At 34.0% G+C, this 25,409-nt stretch overlaps 1 protein-coding gene across 8 annotated transcripts in view; it reads right to left on the bottom strand.

The window, feature by feature from the left end:
* LRFN5 (leucine rich repeat and fibronectin type III domain containing 5) overlaps positions 5,831-25,409 on the bottom strand; it is a 297,674-nt gene continuing 278,095 nt past the window's right edge. For 3 of the 8 annotated variants that reach the window (NM_152447.5, NM_001346173.2, XM_047431029.1), the window contains 4 exons: positions 22,370-23,774; positions 18,418-19,130; positions 11,420-11,463; positions 5,831-6,222 (listed from right to left, as the gene is read on the bottom strand). In NM_152447.5, the coding sequence (NP_689660.2) occupies positions 6,205-6,222; positions 11,420-11,463; positions 18,418-19,130; positions 22,370-23,754 (2,160 nt within the window). In that variant the 5' untranslated portion in view covers positions 23,755-23,774 and the 3' untranslated portion in view covers positions 5,831-6,204. Of the gene's footprint in view, positions 6,223-11,419; positions 11,464-18,094; positions 19,131-21,842; positions 22,035-22,369; positions 23,775-25,409 lie in introns of all 8 variants that reach the window. The other 5 variants (NR_144388.2, XR_007063991.1, NM_001330106.2 and 2 more) reach the window with 3 other exon arrangements.

Below are 25,409 nucleotides of genomic sequence, written 5' to 3'. Positions count from 1 at the left end.
AAATGGAAGAAAGGGTATCAGCCATGGAAGATGAAATGAATGAAATGAAGTGAGAAGGGAAGTTTAGAGAAAAAAGAATAAAAAGAAACCAACAAAGCCTCCAAGAAATATGGGACTATGTGAAAATACCAAATCTATGTCTGAGTGGTGTACCTGAAAGTGATGGGGAGAATGCAACCAAGTTGGAAAACACTCTGCAGGATATTATCCAGGAGAACATCCCCAATCTAGCAAGGCAGGCCAACGTTCAGATTCAGGAAATACAGAGAACGCCACAAAGATACTCCTCGAGAAGAGCAACTCCAAGACACATAATTGTCAGATTCACCAAAATTGAAATGAAGGAAAAAATGTTAAGGGCAGCCAGAGAGAAAGGTCGGGTTACCCACAAAGGGAAGCCCATCAGACTAACAGCGGATCTCTTGGCAGAAACTCTACAAGCCAGAAGAGAGTGGGGGCCAATATTCAACATTCTTAAAGAAAAGAATTTTCAACACAGAATTTCATATCCAGACAAACTAAGCTTCATAAGTGAAGGAGAAATAAAATATTTTACAGACAAGCAAATGCTGAGAGATTTTGTCACCACCAGGCCTGCCCTAAAAGAGCTCCTGAAGGAAGCACTAAACACGGAAAGGAACAACTGGTACCAGCCACTGCAAAACCATGCCAAAATGTAAAGACCATCAAGACTACGAAGAAACTGCATCAACTAATGAGCAAAATAACCAGCTAACATCATAATGACAGGATCAAATTCACACATAACAATATTAACTTTAAATGTAAATGGACTAAATGCTCCAATTAAAAGACATAAACTGGCAAATTGGATAAAGAGTCAAGACCCATCAGTGTGCTGTATTCTGCAAACCCATCTCACGTGCAGAGACACACATAGGCTCAAAATAAAAGGATGGAGGAAGATCTACCAAGCAAATGGAAAACAAAAAAAGGCAGGGGTTGCAATCCTAGTCTCTGATAAAACAGACTTTAAACCAACAAAGATCAAAAGAGACAAAGAAGGCCATTACATAATGGTAAAGGGATCAATTCAACAAGAAGAGCTAACTATCCTAAATATATATGCTCCCAATACAGGAGCACCCAGATTCATAAAGCAAGTCCTGAGTGACCTACAAAGAGACTTAGACTCCAACACAATAATAATGGGAGACTTTAACACCCCACTGTCAACATTAGACAGATCAACGAGACAGAAAGTTAACAAGGATACCCAGGAATTGAACGCAGCTCTGCACCAAGTGGACCTAATAGACATCTACAGAACTCTCCACCCCAAATCAACAGAATATACATTTTTTTCAGCACCACACCACACCTATTCCAAAATTGACCACATAGTTGGAAGTAAAGCTCTCCTCAGCAAATGTAATAATTAATAGCTTACGAACCAAAAAAAAGTCCAGGACCAGATGGATTCACAGCCGAATTCTACCAGAGGTACAAGTAGGAACTGGTACCATTCCTTCTGAAACTATTCCAATCAGTAGAAAAAGAGAGAATCCGCCCTAACTCATTTTATGAGGCCAGCATCATCCTGATACCAAAGCCGGGCAGAGACACAACCAAAAAACAGAATTTTAGACCAATATCCTTGATGAACATTGATGCAAAAATCCTCATTAAAATACTTGCAAACCGAATCCAGCAGCACATCAAAAAGCTTATCCACCATGATCAAGTGGGCTTCATCCCTGGGATGCAAGGCTGGTTCAACAAATGCAAATCAATAAATGTAATCCAGCATATAAACAGAACCAAAGACAAAAACCACATGATTATCTCAATAGATGCAGAAAAGGCCTTTGACAAAATTCAACAACCTTCATGCTAAAAACTCTCAATAAATTAGGTATTGATGGGACGTATCTCCAAATAATAAGAGCTATCTACGACAAACCCACAGCCAATATCATACTGAATGGGCAAAAACTGGAAGCATTCCCTTTGAAAACTGGCACAAGACAGGGATGCGCTCTCTCACCACTCCTATTCAACATAGTGTTGGAAGTTCTGGCCAGGGCAATTAGGCAGGAGAAGGAAATAAAGGGTATTCAATTAGGAAAAGAGGAAGTCAAATTGTCCCTGTTTGCAGATGACATGATTGTATATCTAGAAAACCCCATTGTCTCAGCCCAAAATCTCCTTAAGCTGATAAGCAACTTCAGCAAAGTCTCAGGATACAAAATCAATGTACAAAAATCACAAGCATTCTTATACACCAATAACAGACAAACAGAGAGCCAAACCATGAGTGAACTCCCATTCACAATTGCTTCAAAGAGAATAAAATACCTAGGAATCCAACTTACAAGGGACGTGAAGGACCTCTTCAAGGATAACTACAAACCACTGCTCAATGAAATAAAAGAGGATACAAAGAAATGGAAGAACATTCCATGCTCATGGGTAGGAAGAATCAATATCGTGAAAATGGCCATACTGCCCAAGGTAATTTATAGATTCAATGCCATCCCCATCAAGCTACCAATGACTTTCTTCACAGAATTGGAAAAAACTACTTTAAAGTTCATATGGAACCAAAAAAAAGCCTGCATCGCCAAGTCAATCCTAAGCCAAAAGAACAAAGCTGGAGGCATCACACTACCTGACTTCAAACTATACTACAAGGCTACAGTAACCAAAACAGCATGGTACTGGTACCAAAACAGAGATATAGATCAATGGAACAGAACAGAGCCCTCAGAAATAATGCCACATATCTACAACTATCTGATCTTTGACAAACCTGACAAAAACAAGAAATGGGGAAAGGATTCCCTATTCAATAAATGGTGCTGGGAAAACTGGCTAGCCAAATGTAAAAAGCTGAAACTGGATCCCTTCCTTACACCTTATACAAAAATTAATTCAAGATGTATTAAAGACTTAAATGTTAGACCTAAAACCACAAAAACCCTAGAAGAAAACCTAGGCATTACCATTCAGGACAAAGGCATGGGCAAGGACTTCATGTCTAAAACACCAAAAGCAATGGCAACACAAGACAAAATTGACAAATGGGATCTAATTAAACTAAAGAGCTTCTGCACAGCAAAGGAAACTACCATCAGAGTGAACAGGCAACCTACAAAATGGGAGAAAATTTTTGCAACCTACTCATCTGACAAAGGGCTGATATCCAGAATCTACATTGAACTCAAACAAATTTACAAGAAAAAAACAAACAACCCCATCAAAAAGTGGGCGAAGGACATGAACAGACACTTCTCAAAAGAAGACTTTTATGCAGCCAAAAGACACATGAAAAAATGCTCACCATCACTGGCCATCAGAGAAATGCAAATCAAAACCACAATGAGATAGCATCTCACACCAGTATAGAATGGCGATCATTAAAAAGTCAGGAAACAACAGGTGCTGGAGAGGATGTGGAGAAATAGGAACACGTTTACACTGTTGGTGGGACTGTAAACTAGTTCAACCATTGTGGATGTCAGTGTGGTGATTCCTCAGGGATCTAGAACTAGAAATACCATTTGACCCAGCCATCCCATTACTGGGTATATACCCAAAGGACTATAAATCATGCTGCTATAAAGACACATACACACATGTTTATTGCGGCACTATTCACAATAGCAAAGACTTGGAACCAACCCAAATGTCCAACAATGATAGACTGGATTAAGAAAATGTGGCACATATACACCATGGAATACTATGCAGCCATAAAAAATGATGAGTTCATGTCCTTTGTAGGGACATGGATGAAATTGGAAATCATCATTCTCAGTAAACTATCGCAAGGACAAAAAACCAAACACCACATGTTCTCACTCATAGGTGGGAATTGAACTATGAGAACACATGGATACAGCAAGGGGAACATCACACTCTGGGTACTGTTGTGGGGTGGGGGGAGGGGGGAGGGATAGCATTAGGAGATATACCTAATGCTAAATGACGAGTTAATGGGTGCAGCACACCAGCATGGCACATGTATACATATGTAACAAACCTGCACATTGTGCACATGTACCCTAAAACTTAAAGTATAATAATAATAAAATAAAAAAAAGAATTAAATACCATTTCATAAAAACAATAGATTCTCACGAACCTTGAGAATCAGAGTCTGTGCCTACTTTTCATCATAAACAAAATTAAAAAAAGAAAATGTGTACATTATGGGTGTCTGAGTAATGTTGTTTGATTGAATATATGCATAAATGGAAATTTTGGATTTAGGTGTAGGGGATGCAGGGTAAAGTCTTGAAGTGATTAACTTTCATTTTAACTCACTAACAATTCTGTTCCTTCGAAAACAATAGCATAAATATCCTGAATGAACAAAAAAGTAGATGACAGGACAGGCTATGAACAACACTGCTTTGTTATCACCATCAAGAAAAGAATTAGCCCCAAAGGGGTGGGAGGACTGTAAGAATAAACAGGACAATGTCCTTGAGGAACCAAGATAACTGAAAATGTCACTCTGAGCTGAAATCCAGGAAAGCCATTCCTGTTCTTGATTCTCTCTTTATACATGTATATTAGGAGAAAAGCTGTATACAACAGCAATGTATTTGCAGAGGCAGAATTCACTGTTCAATCCGTCTCTTTTTAATCATCATACACATTTATGTATGCATATGCATACACACCCATAAGCAAAATTGTTCCAGGGTGTTGAAGTTGTCAGAGAATTAGGTAAATTGCCCAATGTCGTGACTACAAAATGTAACTACAAAAATTCAATTCAAACTTGTAACTTCTGTTTCAGTCTTGCATTGTGTATGTCAGGGAGTGTGTGTGTGCGCGTGTGTTTGCCTCTACGTGTGTGCATGCAAACAACTGTGTCTATGTTGTCCGGTGGAGTTACGTTCCTGAGCACGGCTTCCAAATGTTCTAAATGGCTAACGTCTTGAAACCTCTCCTTGGATGACTGGATATTTTTAATAGTCCAAATGTGGAATAATTAACAGATTAACCTGAATTTCTTAAAAGGCAAAGAGTTTTCTAGCTTATTTGACTTGAATTAAAAAAAAAAACTACATATTGGTCTCAATGATAACTATCAGAATTACCAAGGAATAGAGATATAATCTATAATATCTGAGAGAGTCTGAATTCAGTTGGGAGTAACAATGCTCTTATGAATATTTTTATTGAACTTATTGCTTTTGCCATGTATTCTGATAAATGTACGTGTTTTCAAATTTTACACTAATATCTTTTCTATGACAACATGGAAGATTGCTGTGCATAACTGGCCAAACTCACACAGCTGAGGCCTGCTTCACACCAGGGGCAGCTCTTAAATGCTTAGCTTGGATATTGCTTAAATATGACTGCATTCTCCTGTATTAGCCCTCAAAATTAACTCAGTTCTACGTATGCTGGTAGTAAAGCAGATGCATATTCTTTGTTCTTACTCTGAACTTGTGCAAAATTGGAGAAATGTGCACTTAAGGCTTGTAATTATTAAAACCTCTTTTGCCCCGGCTCCCTAGAAAAGCAATGAATCAATTTGGATTCATTATAATATTCCTATCTTGATCATTTTGGAAGTTTTACTAGGAGAAGAGAGCCTTTATCACTTTCTATCCTATACTGAGGCATAAAATTAGTATAAACTTGCTTAAATAGCTGTACTGCTCTCCCAAAGAACTGGGTGCACTGAATCATGGAAGAAATATTTCCAATATTATAAAGCCGCTTGTAATCTCTTAAGGTTTTTGCACGGCCTACATGTAAAAGAGTAGTATTTGTTCTTGCAATAATTATTTCACCACTCACACTTGAAGCAATGGGTACTTTCACAAATCAGGCAATGTGCAAATTCTGTCATAGTAAAACATTTATTTGTTAAAGTGATATAGATTATTCAAGATTCTACAGTCTGTTAAATCATGGATGGCAATGTAAGATGGATTGATACAGAACTTGATGCCAATGTAGGCTTTTTTTCTTTTTTAAAAAAAAAATACTTGTAGGCCAGAAGAAAAAAAAATTTGGTTTTAAAAGAGGATGAACCATGGTCTAATGGAGCCAGTTCCGCCGTCATCAGAGACTTTCACCTTGGCTCCTGTAGACAATTTCTTCTACGACACCAGTTCAACAATTAGCCTTTGTGAATTGAAACATTTTTGAATTTTATCCAGTAAAAATATCAGTGGCAAATTTTTTCAGGAGAGAGAGGAGAAGTGGTGCTCTTCAGATTAACTCCAGCCTCTGAAATGAAAGAAAAAGAAAAAGGAAAAAAAGAAAGAAAGGAAGAAAGAAAGAAAACACATAGCTAATAAGATCATTGTGCTAGCAATCTAAAAGTAACTAAATGTAAGCACCCAAGGAGGAGTTGCTTGCCATGAAATACAGCACACACCCATGAAAACTATCTAAACATGCATATAAACATATAAAATGCTTCTTAGTAACTTCAATTGGTGAATATATAAAAGTATCTTATTTTTTTAATCTAAGTATATGAAGCCTAGATAATTATGTAAAGTCAAAGCTACATTGTAAAATGGCATTTTCTATTGCTTTGTTTTTCACATATATAATTTCAAGGTAAGATAAACAAATAATAATTGCAGTTATTAAAGCATGCTACTTACAAATTTTAAAAATTCTGCTAGAAAATGTGTATGATATTAAAATTTTACAAATATTTAATAATACATTTAATGGTAGTAAATTATTCACCTTAACTAATCAGTTTTTCACCCACAAAACAAAATAAATGGAAAACTTACAATAACTCTTACAGGCATTCCATGTTTGAATTAAACATGATTTTGAAAGAAAATAATGTAAAAGCCATTTTATAAAAATATTTAAACATAAAACTGTGAAAATATTTTTCCTCTAATATGTGTTCTCAGTCTTCATGGATTTAAGATATGTCTAATGAAGTCTATTCTTGATGAAAATGGAAAATAATTTTTTGAGAAATATATGCTTTCATATACATGAGTACAAGTAATTTTCTCTTTTCCATTAAAAAACAACTGCATCTTAACAATTTTTTATTTGGGAATTATAAAATGCATGGCATGAATGAATCATGAAATAGAGATTCATTTATTTAGTATTCTATATTAAAATGTTGATGTAGAATATCTTTAGATAATTTTATGTGATAAAGTTATTAAAGTATATTAAAGGTTATTTTTGGTAACTTTATGTGAAGTTAGGTAAAATGCTGTAAAGATATTTTATTTAAGAAAACATTTCAAAATAATTGATAATCTGAATAGTGAAATTGATTTTAGCAAAAATAATAATTTTGGAAAGCTAATAAGAAATACACCATATATGTGAAGACTGTTAAGGGACCAGTGTGTATCTTATTTGTAAAAAAAGAATTACTTTTTAAAAAGCTACTGAAATATAGATATTATTATCATAATTTACCTGGAATATACTAAGAAAAACATTGCAAAATCACTGTAAAAATGTAATGGTATATATTACTAAATTCTTCTTTATTTGGTTCATTGCAGAGCTCATATTGGTAAAATTGAAAATCAACATGTTTTCTCTTTTTATATTTCAAGTGATATACTCCCTTTGACACAAAAAAGGTGTTATGATACTATATCAAAGGTCAAGTTACAAAAAGTAGTAAAAGTAAAAGTTGCAGTACACCTAGAAGGAAAATGACAGTGGACAAAATAACTAGTTTAAGTTTTTAAGTAATAAATGGTTCCAGGATAGCAAACTTTAATTTAGTATCAAGTTAATGATTTTGTAAGCTGACATATCTTAAAGATTTACTAGAGTTTCACATTAACTAATCATATTAACAAACTGTAAAATTATGGTTTATATTTGAACAGTAGGAAATAAAAATTTTGTGAACTAAGAAGTTTGTCTGCTCTGAAGATGTAGCAATATTAAAATTATTAAATAATATGAAGCCAAATAAAAACTGGCATTTAATAGAATATCCAAAATGACACTTTTTAATTTACTTATCAATAGATAGCTCCTATAGTAATTCCATAAATACCTAAACATAAAACACAAAATTACAAGAGTATCAAACAATACAAATAATACAGACTAAATATGGTAAAAATGTTACAAAAACTAAAAATAATCAAGTTGTAGTAGGTTTAGGATGTTTTGGTTATTGTCCTCATTTAAGAGTGAGTGGATATCATGCAAAAATCTGTGGACAGTCTTATTAACAGTACTAAAAGATAAATAAGAAATGCAAGCTCCCTGAACATTAAGAGAAGAAAAAAAATCCTGACATTAAATGAATTGTGGGAAAAGATTTATTACTGCCCCTATTCTCAATGTAATTAAGAACTGTGAAATATTTTGATCTTTTATAGCTAGGATGTCTAAGCAAGGAGATGATTTCTAAAGGTCATTGCTGACCCAAAGGCTCTCCTTTTTTAAAATTTGTTATAATGTTCAAATATATATGTTAAAAACATGCTTTAATTATTATAAAAACAGCCAAATGTTTCCTACATATGTGTTTATTCTATTACTCTTATTTCAGAAAATTTACTTGAAAAGAATATCATAGGAACCTCCTCCTGCAGAAGCAAATATTTTACATTGATCACACTCACCTGGAAACAAATTGGAAGCATATTTGCATCATGTGTATAAAATTTGCTTTTCTCTTTGGCTCTTATTTCATGTATTTTCCTAACCCTGTGTTTTCCCATAGTTTTATCAGTGTTGTTATGTATTCATAATCAATATTAGCTTTTAATTTGTATATTAATTATCTAAAAAATTGTACTCATCTGTAACAGAGATTTTATTGCAAAGTTTACACTTTTGCTTGTTATTAAATGTGGACTAATCGCAAGTTAAATTTATTAAAATCAAGAAGCAATTATCTTAAAGGCCTGTGCAAGCAATCACAGAATAAGCTATAGCTCTTGTGCAAAGCTACACACACACACACACACACACACACACACACACAATGCATACATATTTTATTGGTCAGAAAACAGCAAACAGTTCTTAAGAAATTTTATTTAAGGCATTTTCAGTATAAATGGAAACTACTCAACTATTTCTTACTTAACTGCCGAACAGCATAACTATTGTTTTACTGTGTTCCTTGTAAAGATAAAAATCTTGGCCAAACACAAGGAAAATTTATAGGTAAGTGTCAATTTCCACGTAGAGTTATCAGCATTAATTTTATACGTAATTCCTTTCCCCTTTCCTCTCAATTCATTTTAGTGTGATTAAAATTTTATGATTATATTATAAAAGAATTGTATTATATATTAGATATTAAAATATTTCAAGGCCACTCAACTTTTATATACATTCCTAAAGGCTTCTAAAAAAGAAAATTGGCATGGGGCATATTCTGAATAATGGAAATGAAATAAGTGTTTTAACTCTCTATGCTTAGAAAAAAATTCACCTTAACAGGTACCTCAGTATGACTGGCTACGGAAAACTCGGAGCTGAAGAGTTGCAATCACAAAGGGTCTCTGCCCGCTCTCCACCTCTGTTCATTCACACACTGACAATGTGAAAGGCTATGACAAAGCTAAGAACACACAGGTCACACACTGTCTTCAGTAGGGGCATCACTGTTTGGTCTTCTCACAGTGGTAGACATAGGCCTGCTATAGCACAAATCATTTACCGAGAATCAAGAATAGTTACCTTGGGGTCATACAGTAACTTAAATCTGATAATAGAAAGGTAGCAAGGAGCTGGCTAATAAGTGAGTGATGTATGGCCACTGAATTTTGTTAAAACTATTATTTGTCTTTGGATTTGTTTTACTTGCTAATATTTATAGAAAGAGGAACAAGGTAGCTTAAGTATGAAGGGAAGTTTTCTATAATATATGACAGTCATTTATTTTTAATGATATTTTCTTATTTTTTGTAATACTAATTACTTTAAGATAAAAAGTTATTATTCAAAGCCTTATATATGTATCACATTTGCAAAATTTTGTGCTATATCTCTTAGTACAAAGACTTCCAAAGAAAGTCTAAATTCCATTTATAATAATATACTAAAATAAATACATAAGCAAAATAATATACAATATTCCATTTCAAATGTGAATCTTTCAAAAATTCTTTAAATTGGTAATTGAAAACTTACGTAGACATTTACTCGCCTGCTTCCAAATTTTGAAACAACATTTAGTACCATTTTGGCTTGTGTTCCTTATAGATTAATCATCTGTTTCCTAATTATTATATAAAGGTATCCTATCCTAAATTTCAGGTTGGCTGGATATGATTTATTAAAGTTACATGATAAATGAACTTTAAAAATGAAAGAGAGAAAGAGAAGGAGAGGCAAAGAGGGAGAGAGAGTGATGGGTAGAGAGAGAGAGATGGAAAGAGAAATAAGAAGAAATGTTAAAATTGAGAGAGAGAACAAAAGGGGTGATGGAGAAACAAGACACCTTCATGCAGGTCAATTCACTGCATACAATAGAACACAAACATGTGCCAGACATTGTGCTATTGATTGTTTCAGTATTTCCAATGAGCCATCTGCTGTTTTTTGCAACATAAGAATGGGATTCTAAATTCAGTAAAGAAATGATGCATGAAAACATTTTGATTTGTGGATAGAATTCATTAGGGAAGATCCTGAAAGATTGACAAAGTTGTTTTTCTTTTAAATATAAAATGTTAAAAACCAAGACCCTATTTTTACTACCAGCAAATAAATCAATGGCCTTTTTTAGAACTGTTAAAAGCAGAATTTTTGTGTGTGTGCCAAACCTCAAGCAAATGGCTGATGCTTCCAGCTGTTTGAACAGATTGCTAAAGTGCTTCTCTGCTCTGGAAACACACTCTCTGATCCAATTAAAATTCAAGAATCAAATACTCATTTCAAACATCCCCCCTAAAAAAACCACTCAAGAAGAATAATTGGTTGCTGACAAAAGTAATACCATGAATATTTCATATGTAGTCTTTTGCTCCATTTTAAAGAGGCTTCATTCATTTTAGATAACAGTGAAACACTTCTGTTCATCTGTTTTCAAAGAGGCATAATGTGTCATCTCAGCTCTAATTAGGATGTGGAGGTCAAGGATAGGAGTAAATACATTCTTATCAAGGTACTGTCTTCACATTTGGAAATATTTGTAAAAATGCACATTGTATCATGTATGACTACAAGAGTGACTCCAAAGTTGCATGCATCACTATTATTAACTTCATTTCTTACAGGACAAAGCAGAGATGTTTAGTTAACCCCAAATATCTCTAAATTTAGAAACTGTGAATTCACTTAATCAAACTAAACTTCAATCTTCACTGTTGAGAATTATAAGTAAATTTTAAAAGAAAATTTCAACAAGCTACATAAATTAGCAAACTAATTACTTAAAGTTAATTTATAAAAAGTGTATACCCATTTAAGTGTTGAAGTAAGTTATAGGTAATAAGAATCTCACCTGTGTTTCCTGGACAATCTGGTCAACATTAGTCAGCAAAGCATCTGGGAATAAAATGTTCAGTGTCATAAACAATTCATTTTTTTAAAAGAAATAGATTCAAAAAACCTCTTACTGAAATCTTGGTAATACTTCATATCAAGAATTAACAAAGATTTATCTAAAGATTTTTTTTAAAAAACTTACCAGTTCATGGGTTAATTGCAATTGACTTTTATAATATTTCAGTTCTCTATGTCTACTTTCTTATTCCTAATGCTTAAAAACATAATATTCTAAAATGTTATTCTAATAACTAAAATGAGTGATTTTCAATATGCATTTGGTATTCGTGACAGAGTTCAATAAGATAATCGAGTTTCTGTTCATTTTCTTACTCACAGTTGACATTTCATCTATATAGATTCATCAGAATAATATGCAAAATTACATCAAGGAAAAAAGAATTCAAAGCAGAAAATATAGTTTAACTATGTTCACCATATGGAGTACAAAAGAATCACTTAAAATATTAACCATCATTCAATACCTACTCCCCAAATAATAGCTAATATTTTAACAAGTACCTGTTTGTCCCTATGTAAGACACTAACATTCTAAATACGAACAACCTTCCTTTAAATGTTTATATGTAGGTTCCAATTGCCTATAAAAGTTTAATACCATTACATAAACCTGTGCAGCACACATTCTATTTTTTTCCAAAATGCCTTCCTTTTAAGCAAATACGTTTAATCATTGAGAAGTGACACATGATAGAAAACTAGGAGTAAAGGATAAGTCCTTCTTAGGATTCACAGGTGAGTGTCACGAGATTGAGACAAATTGTTTTTTACAAAACTTTCAGCACAAATATTCATGTAAATATACAATGGTCTTTGGAGATTAGATTTTACATAAAATCAATAATAGGAGATGTTCACATTATAGATGAAAAAAAGAATACAAAATTGTATTATGGTAGAGCCAATAGCCAACACGGTATATTTCATAAGCTCCTTGATTTTACTCAAATATTTATTTATTAGACATATTCTAGAGCAGAAACATAATATGTACATAGCCTATGTGTCAGGTAAGGTTATATGTTCAACCACTTCCAAGCACAAGTACATTAAATGAAAGGGCCGTCATGGCTTATTCCTTAATGAATTTGAAAATATTTCGTTTTTGTTTTCAGACATCATGAACATAACAGTCACCAAGTTTGAAATGGATGAAATTAGGTTGTAGAGATGGTTATAATTAAAAAATGCAGAAAATTAAATTTGTACTTTATATTCTATTGTTATCTGATAAGTAACAGTTATAATTTTTACAGTTTTTCTGGGAGTTCTCTGACAGCCAGTCCATTTAAATCTATGTTTTCATAGTAATTAAAATTAATCTATATTGCAGGACACAAAATTATGATTTTAGCTGGTTAATGTTATGAGTATAAATATTTATATGTCTATATAATACATATATAGGCAGATATTTGTTGAGCACATATATATTTATACAAATGTATGTGATGTATATATTTATTCAATGTTAACTTTAGATCCTAAATTTTGACTTTGAAAGTGCTGAACATAATCAGAAGACAATCATTCTAAGTGTACCATTACACTTACCAGAGAAATCAGTGATTATTTTGTTATATTCACTGTTTGTGTAATTTGATGAAATCCCCAATGCATTAACAGTACCTTAGTGAGGTAATTTACTACTTAAATATACTCCTGGTTATAAATTGTTACTTTCTATATCCCTCTTCAAGATAACACCACATTTTTAGGATGGCTCAATCAAAACAATATGCTTACCACTCTATTTTTTAATATTTATTTATTTATTTATTTATTTATTTATTTATTTATTTATTTTGACAGAGTCTCACTCTGTCACCAGGCTGGAGTTCAGTGGCACGATCTTGGCTCACTGCAACCTCCGACTCCAGGGTTCAAGTGATTCTCCTGCCTCAGCCTCCCGAGTAGCTGGTATTACAGGTGCGCGCCACCACACCCAGCTAATTTTTTGTATTTTTAGTAGAGATAGGGTTTCACCACGTTGGCCAGGATGGTCTCGATCTCCTGACCTCGTGATCTGCCTGCCTTGGCATCCCAAAGTGCTGGGATTACAGGTGTGAGCCACTGAGCCCGGCCTACCACTCTTTTTAAGTGGCCTTCTGTACCCTGCTACATGAATTGATTGTTTCTGTGGAAAAACATAATAATAAATAAACAAATAATAAAGATGTGAACAAACTAATTTTATTAATAATCCCAGCGTATATTTATCTAGCATGGGAAGAAAAAGACTGGGCAATCTGTCCTTTGAAAGTAAAAATTCAAATATTAATTTTGATTATTCTTTTCTGAATGCCATTTCAAAAATGACATATTTCTTGTATATAAATTTACTTAAATATCACTAACATTGTAAGGTACAGTGTTATTATTAGCAACATAAAAGGATAAGAAAAATATCCTTTTCACATACAATCCACCTCTGTGCAGAAGTCCTTTCCTCAAAACACTTCACACTCACACAGAAGCATACATTGTTAATCACTGGACTGTTCTTGAAACAAGGGAAGGCTGAACAAGGAAAGATCGTAGATAGTCTTCATTCTGTCTAATGTAAATGAACAGTTTTCTTAGCATGATAAAATCCAATTGGAAATCAACTATGCTGAGAAGACAATGACTTGCATTTGCTGTCTTCTTAAGAAATGTCTAATTTGCTTCACAATTCTACCCAAAAGATGATACTTTATATTTATGGATTTTTAAACTATTGGAATTTTAAAAAATCTTATATTTATTGCTATAATGAAAGAGAAAAACTTAAATTTAAGAGCTAAAAGGCAAATAGTGTAAATTTTAGGGCAACTTTTAAAGTTTTTAGCTTTATAAATGATATATTTTCTTTTCAAAAATACAAGCAAATAAAATAATAAAATTTATTGGATGCAAGTAGTTTAAATTGAAGAGAAAATACATTACAAAACTAAAAGAAAAAGATGTCTGGAGACAAATGGATCACATTTATGTTTTTTAATTGTTTATAAATTTGTGGAGAAAGTATGCATCTTTCAAAGATTAGACTTGTTATGTTTAGAGATTTCTTAGAATGGTTCAAAACTTCTATTCCAAAATTTTAAGTAAAATATATCTACAAAGCAGGTAAAAACCCACTGTTTTAAAGCATGAAACAGCTTACAGAGACCCCCACTGACTCCTTTAATGGTTAGGAAAAAAAAAAAAGGGGAAATAAATTGGCCACAGTTTGAGTGTTACTGTGTCTAATTTATTTATTCATTTATTTACTTTTTTTTTCTTCTCTTTTGAGACAGAGTCTCTCTCTGTCACCCAGGCTGGAGTGCAGTGGTGGGATGTCAGTTCACTGCCACCTCCACCTCCCAGGCTCAAGCGATTTTCCCACCTCAGCCTCCTGAGTAGCTGGGACTACAGATTCCTACCATGCCCCCAGCTAATTTTTTTGTGTTTTTACTAGTGACAGGGTTTCACCACGTTGGCCTGACTGGTCTCTAACTCCTGACCTCAAGTGATCTGCCCATCTTGGGCCCCCAGAGTGCTGGGATTACAGTGTGAGCCCCCGTGCCCAGCCACTGTGTCTACTTTAAATTGCTGTATTTAATCTTTTTATGTATTTATATATTTGTAGACTAACATAAATAATATCCATCAAACTAAAATATACTGCTTCTTAAAATTTGGGGCTACGTTAGATGCTTCATTATCCCTTTATGACACTACTGTAATAATAATTTTATATTTTCAATTGGGGGACAATTATTCAAAAGGGACAAAAATAATGCAGGAACACAATTTTAAAAAAAGTTTGAAGTAAACATCGTTAATACATGCATAACAGGAAACACATTATTTTGTTTGTTCTCACATTGAACAAGCTGAAACTATAATGCAAAATGACAAAAATAAAAGAAAAATAAGAACGAGGAAGCAAAAATAATATATATGTATATATAATCTTCATATAGTCAGAAACAACAAACAGCAAACCAGATGCTTCAGATCACATATATATGACTGTTTAAATGAGGAATAAAATAATAAATGACAGAAAGCAAAACAAGAAAAGGACAGAGAATTTGTTGCTTATGGTAATATAATATTTAGATAACAAATCTGTATTGTACTAACAAATGAAAATTCTTATTTCCACACCTTACTCCATGGCCATATTTACCTATTCATTTACTCATTCATTCATCTAAGCAACAATTATGTTTCAGACATCATGATAGGTAATATCATTCCCACCTTTTCTGTAGACTTACTTTTCAGTCACTTCACACTGCAATTACTTGAAGCAAAAATTTCTTCATATGTTTATAAACAAATACAAAAAAATTTTGACCTTCTTGATAAGCCAGTCTTTTGTTAATCTCTTAAAATATAGACTTTTTGAAGGGCAAAATCTCAGGCCAGATACTCACCTTTCTATCATTTTTAAGAACAAGTGTTCAAGCATTTGGTTTAAATATTGTAAAAATGATCATATTAAAAATATATTAAATCACATTAAATTATTTTCAATGGTGTTAGTCAAACAAAATAAATCTCATATGATTAAATATGGAATTTTAAATGTCTATGAGAAATGAAAGATATTTAATCAAACTTTATTAGAAACATAAGTAGGCAATTGATTTTTAAAAATACTGGAAAATACTAAGTTCATCAGTAACTTATAGTACATATGTTAACCTTGCTAATGTTGCATGATTTCAGAGCATCCTTATCTTTGATCACAACCTTCATAATCCCAGAAAGTCTTTGAAGATTCATTTCTTTAAGTCTTGCAAGCTTTTGTATGTTCAATATTTTTAATACTATGCTGATAAATCTAAGAAGAGAAAAAGTAGTATGCTTCTGCAAATCAACACCTATTGAGGAATTAGGCAATTGATGTTAATTAAAAATATTTAGTTGGAATTAGAGCATTACTACATTAATAGTACTGAAAATATATTTCACTCTGAGTGCTGCTTTTGATTTCGCAAACTACGACCACATGTGACCTCATCTATTCCTTACACGAAATAAATAACTGGGCAGTGAAGGATAATTAGACTTTGCAAATGTGAAAAGTAAACTTTTTAGAAAGAGAATCAGGGCAGAGAAGGGATTTAGCAAACGCCTAAAATAAAAAAGCCCATTGGATAATTATTTTCAAGACTGGCACTGAAAGTAATCTCTAACTACTTTAATCTTACATACTATTGAATGGCATCATGATACATTGTGTATCAGAAGATGTGGCTTTGTCAAGTTAACAGTAACTGAAATTGTTGTATATGCTTCTACCAGAAGGAAATTAACGATTCCACATTCCTCACTTGTGTCTTAAGTGGTATTTCAACTGATCTGAAAAAGTTAATAAACTTTTACTGTGTGTTTAACTTACTCCCAAAGAGTACTTGACATAAGATAGTAAAGTACCTATCTTATGATATTATGGCTAAAATGTCATTTCTTTTGTGCAAAGCAATGGGTCAGTTCTCAGGTGAGCCTTATTCTCAAAACAAAACAAAATAAAACCTCTTTGATGGTAACTGTTTATAGATCTTTAATAGAACACCATCAAATTATTATATAATTAAGTTTTTCAAGGAGTGAATAGAAACATTTATCTATAGACCTTAATTTCAGTAAATTTCTAATAATTCCATATTATCCAGGAGCAACATTAGTTTCTACTAAATTTAAAATCCTGTTTTAAAAAATTATGTATTCTCACTAAGCAGCATGATTTCTAGTTAGATTTATCACAGTTTTTGGTTAAAATAGCAAATGCATTTACTTTAAAAGGAAAACATTCAAATGCAAAAACTATAGTGCAAATGGGAAAAAAAAAATCCACTATCTGCTTAATGAGCAATGACTTTTATGACTTATAAATATAATGAGAACACCATTAGAAGTTTTTAAATTTTACTTGGTGATAAAAATAAACACCCCTTTGATAAAGGCAGTCTTGTATGTTTGTCTCCCTCTTTATCTTGTATTAAGAACAACATAAAACTCATTCATTCAAAAAATGTGTATTAAATGAATGAAAACATCTTCATATGTCCATGTAGATGCATAGGAATTTGTAGCCTGTGACTGAAAACTGATTAGAGTTTTCATAAATGCGAAATAAATTGCACTTTCTTCTTTCCACTGAAAAAGGTGTATCATAGAGGAGAAATATCTTACAACCATTAAGGCACCTGCACCAAGGATGTTGTTTAGAAGTGAACTAATTTTAACATTAACTCGGTATACTAATTGAATATTGTATTTTAAATAATTTAGCAACATGAAGTTGTTCTCTACAACATTTCCCTAAAAACAAAGGAAACACTATTACCATTGAAAGAAAATATACAGTCTACTTATTAAAAATATCAATTATCCATAGGTGGCCCTTTGTAAAATTAGAGAAATATCATTTTTTATGCAATACTTTTTTCTACAACAATTTTCATTTTTTTAATCTGCTGTTGCTAGTCCTAGGAGTTGGTCCTAGAATAGGGAAAGGCACTGCTGCTATGTCATGCTTTTTCCCTTATCCATTTTATTTATGTTTCCTTCCAGTATACATATACATACATACATATATATAGTTATATATGTGTATATATATATACTGTACCTGAGAAGGTTGATTTATACACAGCATTGGAATTGCAAATTCCAATCTTCTATGTGAGTTCTCAAAATGATTTTTCATGAAAAAGAAATTATAAATTACACAGAGCTTTCCAGTAGTCCCTCAGAATTTGAGAGTTGCCTTTCCACTATGACCATCAGAACAGTCAGACTGAATAAACATCACATTCATAGACATGCTTCTTTTAGGAAACAGTCCACATGTGTTCGGCGAGTTAATATAACAATAGTATTCCTTTAATTCTCCATTGAGGGAGTACTTGTGCCTTGCTCCGGATCTCTCAGCAGGCAAAGTGATAAACTTACTTGGCTTTATATGTGCTCTTTTAGACGTGGGCCCCTCTGTGACAGAATCGGGAGGACGGCTAGCTAACTGCAAGGCAGTTGAGTTGTTCCTGTTAGTGTTTTGGGATTCAACATTTGTGACGGCTTCATTCTGTGGTTCTGTACTTGGCTTTGTGCCAGTCTTTCTTTTCTGCTTTTGGGACACAGAAGTGCTTGAAGTCCAGGAAGGAGGCAAAGCAGAGGTAGTGGTAGAGGAGTCCTGACTCGAACAAGTTTCTGAAGATTGAATCACATTGTCACTGGTAGCTTTACAACACTGGGCATTCTCTTCGTGTCCCACAGCTTGTTTGGACACGGACTGGGGCAGCGTTACACTACAGCCTTGTATTTGAGCCCCGTTAGTTTGGGAATAAACATTGCTAACCTTGGTGACCTTGTGTTGCCCATTATTGTTGCAAACCTTATACCGGATCATCAGAATAATGATGAATACCAGCACAGATGCTACAATGATTCCACCAATAATAATAATCATGGTGCCTCCCAAAAACTGAGACTGCATGAAATGGCAACGCACATAATCCTGTTCCGTAGTAAACTGGATGCAACCCACGACTCTTGTGGCAGTGAGGGAAGTGATGCCATCATCATATATGGCCAAGACACACAAGTCATACATAGTTCCAGCAGCCAGATTATTGACCAGAAAAGTTTTGCTCGTAGGAGGTATCATTCTGAGGGACAATGGAATTTGTGTTAATATTAATAACAAAACAAAACACATACACAGAAAGTCATTATGACTTTAGTTCAGTGTCATTTCAGTATCATTAAGTACATTTATAACATATGAATTATTGAAAAATGATCTAATCTCATATTTACTGAGTTAAAATGGCTAAAAGTCCTTGTCAGCATCTGCACTATATTAATCGTGCCTACCCCAAGCCTTCACAAGCTTACTAATTACATTGCTTAGCAAAGGAGAACTCCTAATAAAAAACACTGCTAAAAAAACATTGATGACAAATTACTTTTGAAAGGTGTGACTGTGACATTATCTGACTGCTAAACAAATCCATTTAGCACTTACAATACCTCTATGACTAAAAGCAAATTTGAAGGAAGGAAAAATGTTGACAATCACATTAGAAATCAAAATAGATACGCATTTTAGAGCATTTATTTTCCATTTCAGAAAAATGAAATGGCACCCAGTAAATATATACTTAATAACTAAGATTATTACTAAGATTAAAGTTTTTTTTTTTTTTTTTGAGACGGAGTCTCGCTCTGTCGCCCAGGCTGGAGTGCAGTGGCGCAATCTCGGCTCAATGAAAGCTCCGCCTCCCGGGTTCACGCCATTCTCCTGCCTCAGCCTGCCGAGTAGCTGGGACTACAGGCGCCCGCCACCACGCCCGGCTAATTTTTTGTATTTTTAGTAGAGGCGGGGTTTCACTGTGTTAGCCAGGATGGTCTCGATCTCCTGACCTCATGATCCGCCCGCCTCTGCCTCCCAAAGTGCTGGGATTACAGGCGTGAGCCACCGCGCCCGGCCTGATTAAAGTATTTTCTTTACAAATATAATCCTTTTTTAATGCAGTCAACACTTGGACTGCGTTATGTTTTTATCTATACATGAGGATAATGAAAATATACAAGTAATATTATCCTAGAAACATGAACAAGGCAAGGCTATTGACCAGAGCATAAATCCCTCATCCCGTTGTATGCTACCGCAAATTTCCATCAGAGCACAATTTATAAAGTGCAAGAGTTTAGACAGTGCCTAAATCTAATATCACCTAATTCCAGTGATACTTTCACTGCGGTGGCTCATGCCTGTAATCCCAGCACTTTGGGAGGCCAAGGCAGGTGGATCAACTGAGGTCAGGAGTTTGAGACCAGCCTGACCGATACGGTGAAACACCGTCTCTAATAAAAATATAAAAATTAGCTGGGAGTGGTGGCGGGCACCTGTAGTCCCAGCTACTGGGCAGGCTGAGACAGGAGAATTGCTTGAACCCAGGAGGCAGAGGTTGCAGTGAGCCGAGATTGTGCCACTTCACTCAAGCCTGGGAGACACAGCAAGACCTTATCTCAAAATAAATAAATAAAGAGTTTATAGACATCTCTGAATCTACTACATTCTAAAAGTTCCTTGTTGATATCTATTTTCTTCTGTTCCTTCAGTTGCAACTGAATATGACCTAATTTATAATTAAATAACAGGCATTACTAAACATTTTGTATACATTAAAATTTAATCTTTACAATGACCTTATGAGACAGGCATTATCACTATTTTACAAATGACAAAAAGGGTCAGGGATTCCAGAAATTTCCTCAAGATTAAACAGAATTTTACTTGTCATTGCAGGATTAAGATCCTGGAATTTGGAAAATAAAATCTGGCTTATTTCACAGAGCTAATGTTTAAAATATATAGAATATCCAATAGCTACAAAAAAGTGTGGGGTGGGGAGGGGTATTTGTCATTGACAGTAGTCCATGAGTTATGTGAAGAGCCTGGTATGACAAGAGCAAATTACTTTAAGTTAATATAGATGTATCATAGTCCATGTCCCCATATATTTAGTGATGAAGGGATATTAGAGACCTTTAGTCTAATTTCTCCCTTGTAATGACGAGGAATTGAAACTCAGCCATATAGAATACTGCTCTGAGCTGATCACATGACTAGATAGGATAGGTTTAATTTTGCCTATTAGTCCATGCTTTAAAAAAAAATTACTCTCATTTCCATACAGGAATGAAAATCAATTATATTGAATAATTCACCTGGGTACATAGGAACTGATCTGATCTGATTTCTGAATATCTTAAACAGAATATATATATATATATAGAGACATATATATATAGACATATATATATATGGCTTTGAAATATCTATATGTGTGTATATATATACACACATGTATATATACATGTGTATATATACACACACATATATATATGTGTATACATACACACATATACATACACACATATGTGTATATATATATATAAAATGCAAAGCCATGGTTTTGCATCATTTCCTAGGGCATAGTAAGCCTCTCACAAAGTGAAATTATATGAAAGGGTAAAAATATGTCTTTTTAACTGAAAATTGGATAAGATGTGACTATAAATCAATGAGGCTGAACTTTAGAAAAACATACCAGAAATTGTTTAGTAGATGCAAATTCTCCATCATCATCCTTACTTGGATATTACATACCTAATTCCAGTGATACTTTCACTGCTCAAATTATTTATAAGGTTTCTTTTTGGAACTGTCTTAGAACCAGTACACATGAGACAACACAACCACACAGACACACGCACACATACCCCTTAATCACTCAAAGAATCAGTCTCATTATTTTATAGTTACATCCTATTTTTGACCAAAAATGGCAATACCCATCTTGATCACCCACCTTATTCACAAGACTTGACTCCAAATGGCTTTTGCTTGTTTCCAAAATTCAAATTCACCCTCAAAAGACGAAGATTTGCCACCACTGAGGATATTCAAAATAGTATGACGAAGGTTCTAAAGATAATTCCAAAAGTGCTTTGAGCAATGGCAGCATCATTGGGATAATGGTATAGCCTCCCAACGTGGCTTCCTTGAAGGAAAGAACACTCATGTGTGTGTAAGTTCTGGTATGTTTTTGAATTTTTATAATAAATCAGTGTTGTTCTCTGATAGTCACATCTCTTAGATGAGGGGGAAAAAAGTAAGTAAGCATAATATTAAATATAAATTGAACTCTCTAAAAAAATACCATTCAAAATATCTCCCCACTTGTATTACCACCTTTTTCAAAGCTTACACTATGCACTTTAAAATATGGAATTACAACACAGAACAGCACTGCCAATTAAAAAAAATCAGTAGTACATTAACAAATTCTACACTAAGATGCATGGTAAGTATACAAATTTGCTCAATTTTTCTTACCTGTAAACAAGGGTGTCATCATAAGTACCATTGTACTGGATTTGAAACATACGTATTCCAGGGATATTTCTTTGAAAATTAAATTTAAGTAGTGCCGTTGATGATGTAGCTTCTGCCACCACAATTTTATCTTGACTCAATTTAGTATCACCATTACTACTGCTTGTATTAGAACCTGACTTGGTAGAAGTTGAGATATCTGAAGAACCAGGATCAGGCTCATGGATATGGTTTGTACTATTTAGTAAGTGAGGGAGCTTAATTATATGAAGATCCACTATTTGTGTTGCTTCCCCAGCAGGATTGGAAGCAATGCAGGTAAAAGCACCTGTATCCTTTACAGTTGTGATAAGAATGTCAAGTGTTCCGTTATCATACACCAGAGATCTTGTTGCATTTGAAATAAGCTTCCCTTCAGGAGAAATCCAGTGAATTGCAGGCTCAGGGTCTCCCCTGGCTTTGCACCTCAGTGTTGCCCTTTGTCCCTCCAGGACTCTCATCTCATGTGTATGACGAGTAATGAGAGGAGGCTCACACAAAAACTCTTCTTCAGGAATTGACCAAAAGTAGCGGCCAGTTAAAAGTGGAGGAGAAGCACAGGTCTCTAAGTCATCTTCTCTGGACAGACGCCTCAACCACAACAATTCACAATTGCAATGCAAGGGGTTTCCACCAAAACTTAATGCAAAAGTAGATGGGCTTATGATTCCTGAGGTTGCTAGTACCTGAGCTCGCTGAAAGAGAGGGTCAGGTGGTAGCTTCTGCAATTTATTTGATGTCACATCTAACCGAGTCATCTTGTGCAAATGGGAGAAGGTCCCCTTAGGAATGTTATCAATCATATTGTGATCCAAACTAAGGGTATGCAAGCTAACCATCTTCTCAACAGCATCCCAAGGAATGGTTTCTAGATTATTATAGGACAGATCCAGCTCCTCAAGGGCGAAGACATCATCAAACGCTGTAGAGGAAATTAAAGTCAGCTGATTGTTGTTCAGTATCAAATGATGAAGATTGGAAAGACCACTGAACATATCATTTGTAATTTTAGTCAATCTGTTGCTATTCAAATGCAAAGCCCTCAAATTTCGTAGGTCAGCGAAAGCATGAGGTGTAATAAAACTTATTGTATTCCTGGATAGAGTCAGGTCCACCAAGCTGGTCATATTGGCAAAATCTTTCCTTTTAATATTTGTAACAAAATTGTCTGCCAACCGCAGTTCCACAGTTCTTCTGTCAATGTTTGGTGGAACAAATAAAAGCCCTTTCTTGGCACAAAGGGTTGCAAGATTAGGAGACAAAATCTGACAGACACAACGCTTTGGACAGATCTGAGCTTTCACTGCTATGCCAATGAGAAACAGATAAAAAAGAATTTTTTCCATTGTAGATCAGGTTTAAGAGCCTGTAACGGAAGACACAAAATAGAATGTTAGCATCCAGTGATTTAATTCATATTCATATTCCTACTAGAATAATATTTGTATGCAATCTAGAATAGAGAAATAATTTCACTTGTTTGCTTAACAAGTATTAATATTTATTCTGTAGTAAAGGCTATAATGGGCACTAGGGAGGAATAACATACCATTGATAGTTTCATGGGATTTAAAATCAAGTAGGAAAAACAAAGCAGTCAAAAGTTTATTATAACTCTGCAAATTAAGCGCCATTTTTTAAGTATGTCCAGGGTACTCCATGGGTGAACCAAAAGAGATATACAGCCGAGATTGTAGGCCTGGGGGTTCAGGAAAACATACCCTAGACCCTGAAGGACATCTTGTTACATAAAGATATTTAAAAAATTAGAGGCATATTTGAAGATTTGTAAGTAGGTCAATTCAGTAGCCTAAACAGAAACAATAAAATACAATATTTGTTAGCTTGCAGCATGACCTTTGAAGATAACAAATTCTTGATTAATTTTTTTCTTCTTTACAAACTATCTTGACATAGATCAACCTTCACTATTTTTTTTTTTTTTTTTTTTTGAGACGAGCCTTGCTTTGTTGCCCAGGCTGCAGTGCAGTGGCGTGATCTTGGCTCACCGTAACTTCCACCTCCCAGGTTCAAGCGATTACTGATGACCATTTGGCCTCCCTGAGTAGCTAGGATTACAGGCGCCCAACACCACGCCCAGCTAATTTTTGTATTTTTAGTAGAGACAGGGTTTGTCATGTTGGGCTGGCTGGTTTCGAACTCCTGACCTCAGGTGATCCGCCCGCTTCAGCCTCCCAAAGTGCTGAGATTACAGGCATGAGCCACTGTGCCCGGCCAATCTTCACATCTTAACTGAAAATACAAAAATCTTATTCTCAAAAAATAACAAGGTTGAATGTTTATCACAATAGCTCCGAGTTCCCTAAATATTAAAATATTTTATTGGTTAAAAATGTGGATTTTTAAAGATAATTTCTGGGAAGCAGCCGTCAGTGCTTTCACTTAACAGTATGTTCAACAAGATATTATATTCTGTTTTCCTTCTTTTACAATCTTAACGAATGTATATTTATCCAAATTTTATTTTAAATAAACACTTTGACAATTTTCATTTTTCTGTTTGATCTTGAGTATATGCTATTGAAATCAATTCTCAAAAATAAAAATAATAGCATATATTTGATTAAAAGCTCTCATATGTTGCATCAGGTTTTCTTTTTTTCTTTCTTTCTTTTTTTTTTTTTTAGACAAAGTTTTTCTCTGTCACCCAAGCTGTGCAGTGCAGTGGTGTGATCATGGCTCACTGCAGTCTCGACCTCCTCAGCTCAAATGATCCTTCCTCTTCAGCCTTCTGAGTAGATGGGACTACAGATAAGTGCCACCACCCTAGGGTAATTTTTTTTTTTTTTTTTTTTGTAGAGACAGGGCTCAAACTCCTGGACTCAGCAATCCTCTTGACTCAGTCTCCCAAAGTGCTGCAAGTACAGGCATGAGCTACCTTACTCAGCCCATTGCATGAAGTTTTAAAAACCATGAGTGAAAATAGCTGCAGAAAATCATACATATTTTCAATTTAATATAAATATGAAATCATCCTGGA

The sequence above is a fragment of the Homo sapiens genome, chromosome 14 (genome assembly GCF_000001405.40).
Source record: "Homo sapiens chromosome 14, GRCh38.p14 Primary Assembly".
Lineage (NCBI taxonomy): Eukaryota > Metazoa > Chordata > Mammalia > Primates > Hominidae > Homo > Homo sapiens.
Note: the sequence above shows the minus strand (reverse complement) of the source record. Positions and strands in the feature narration are given on the sequence as shown.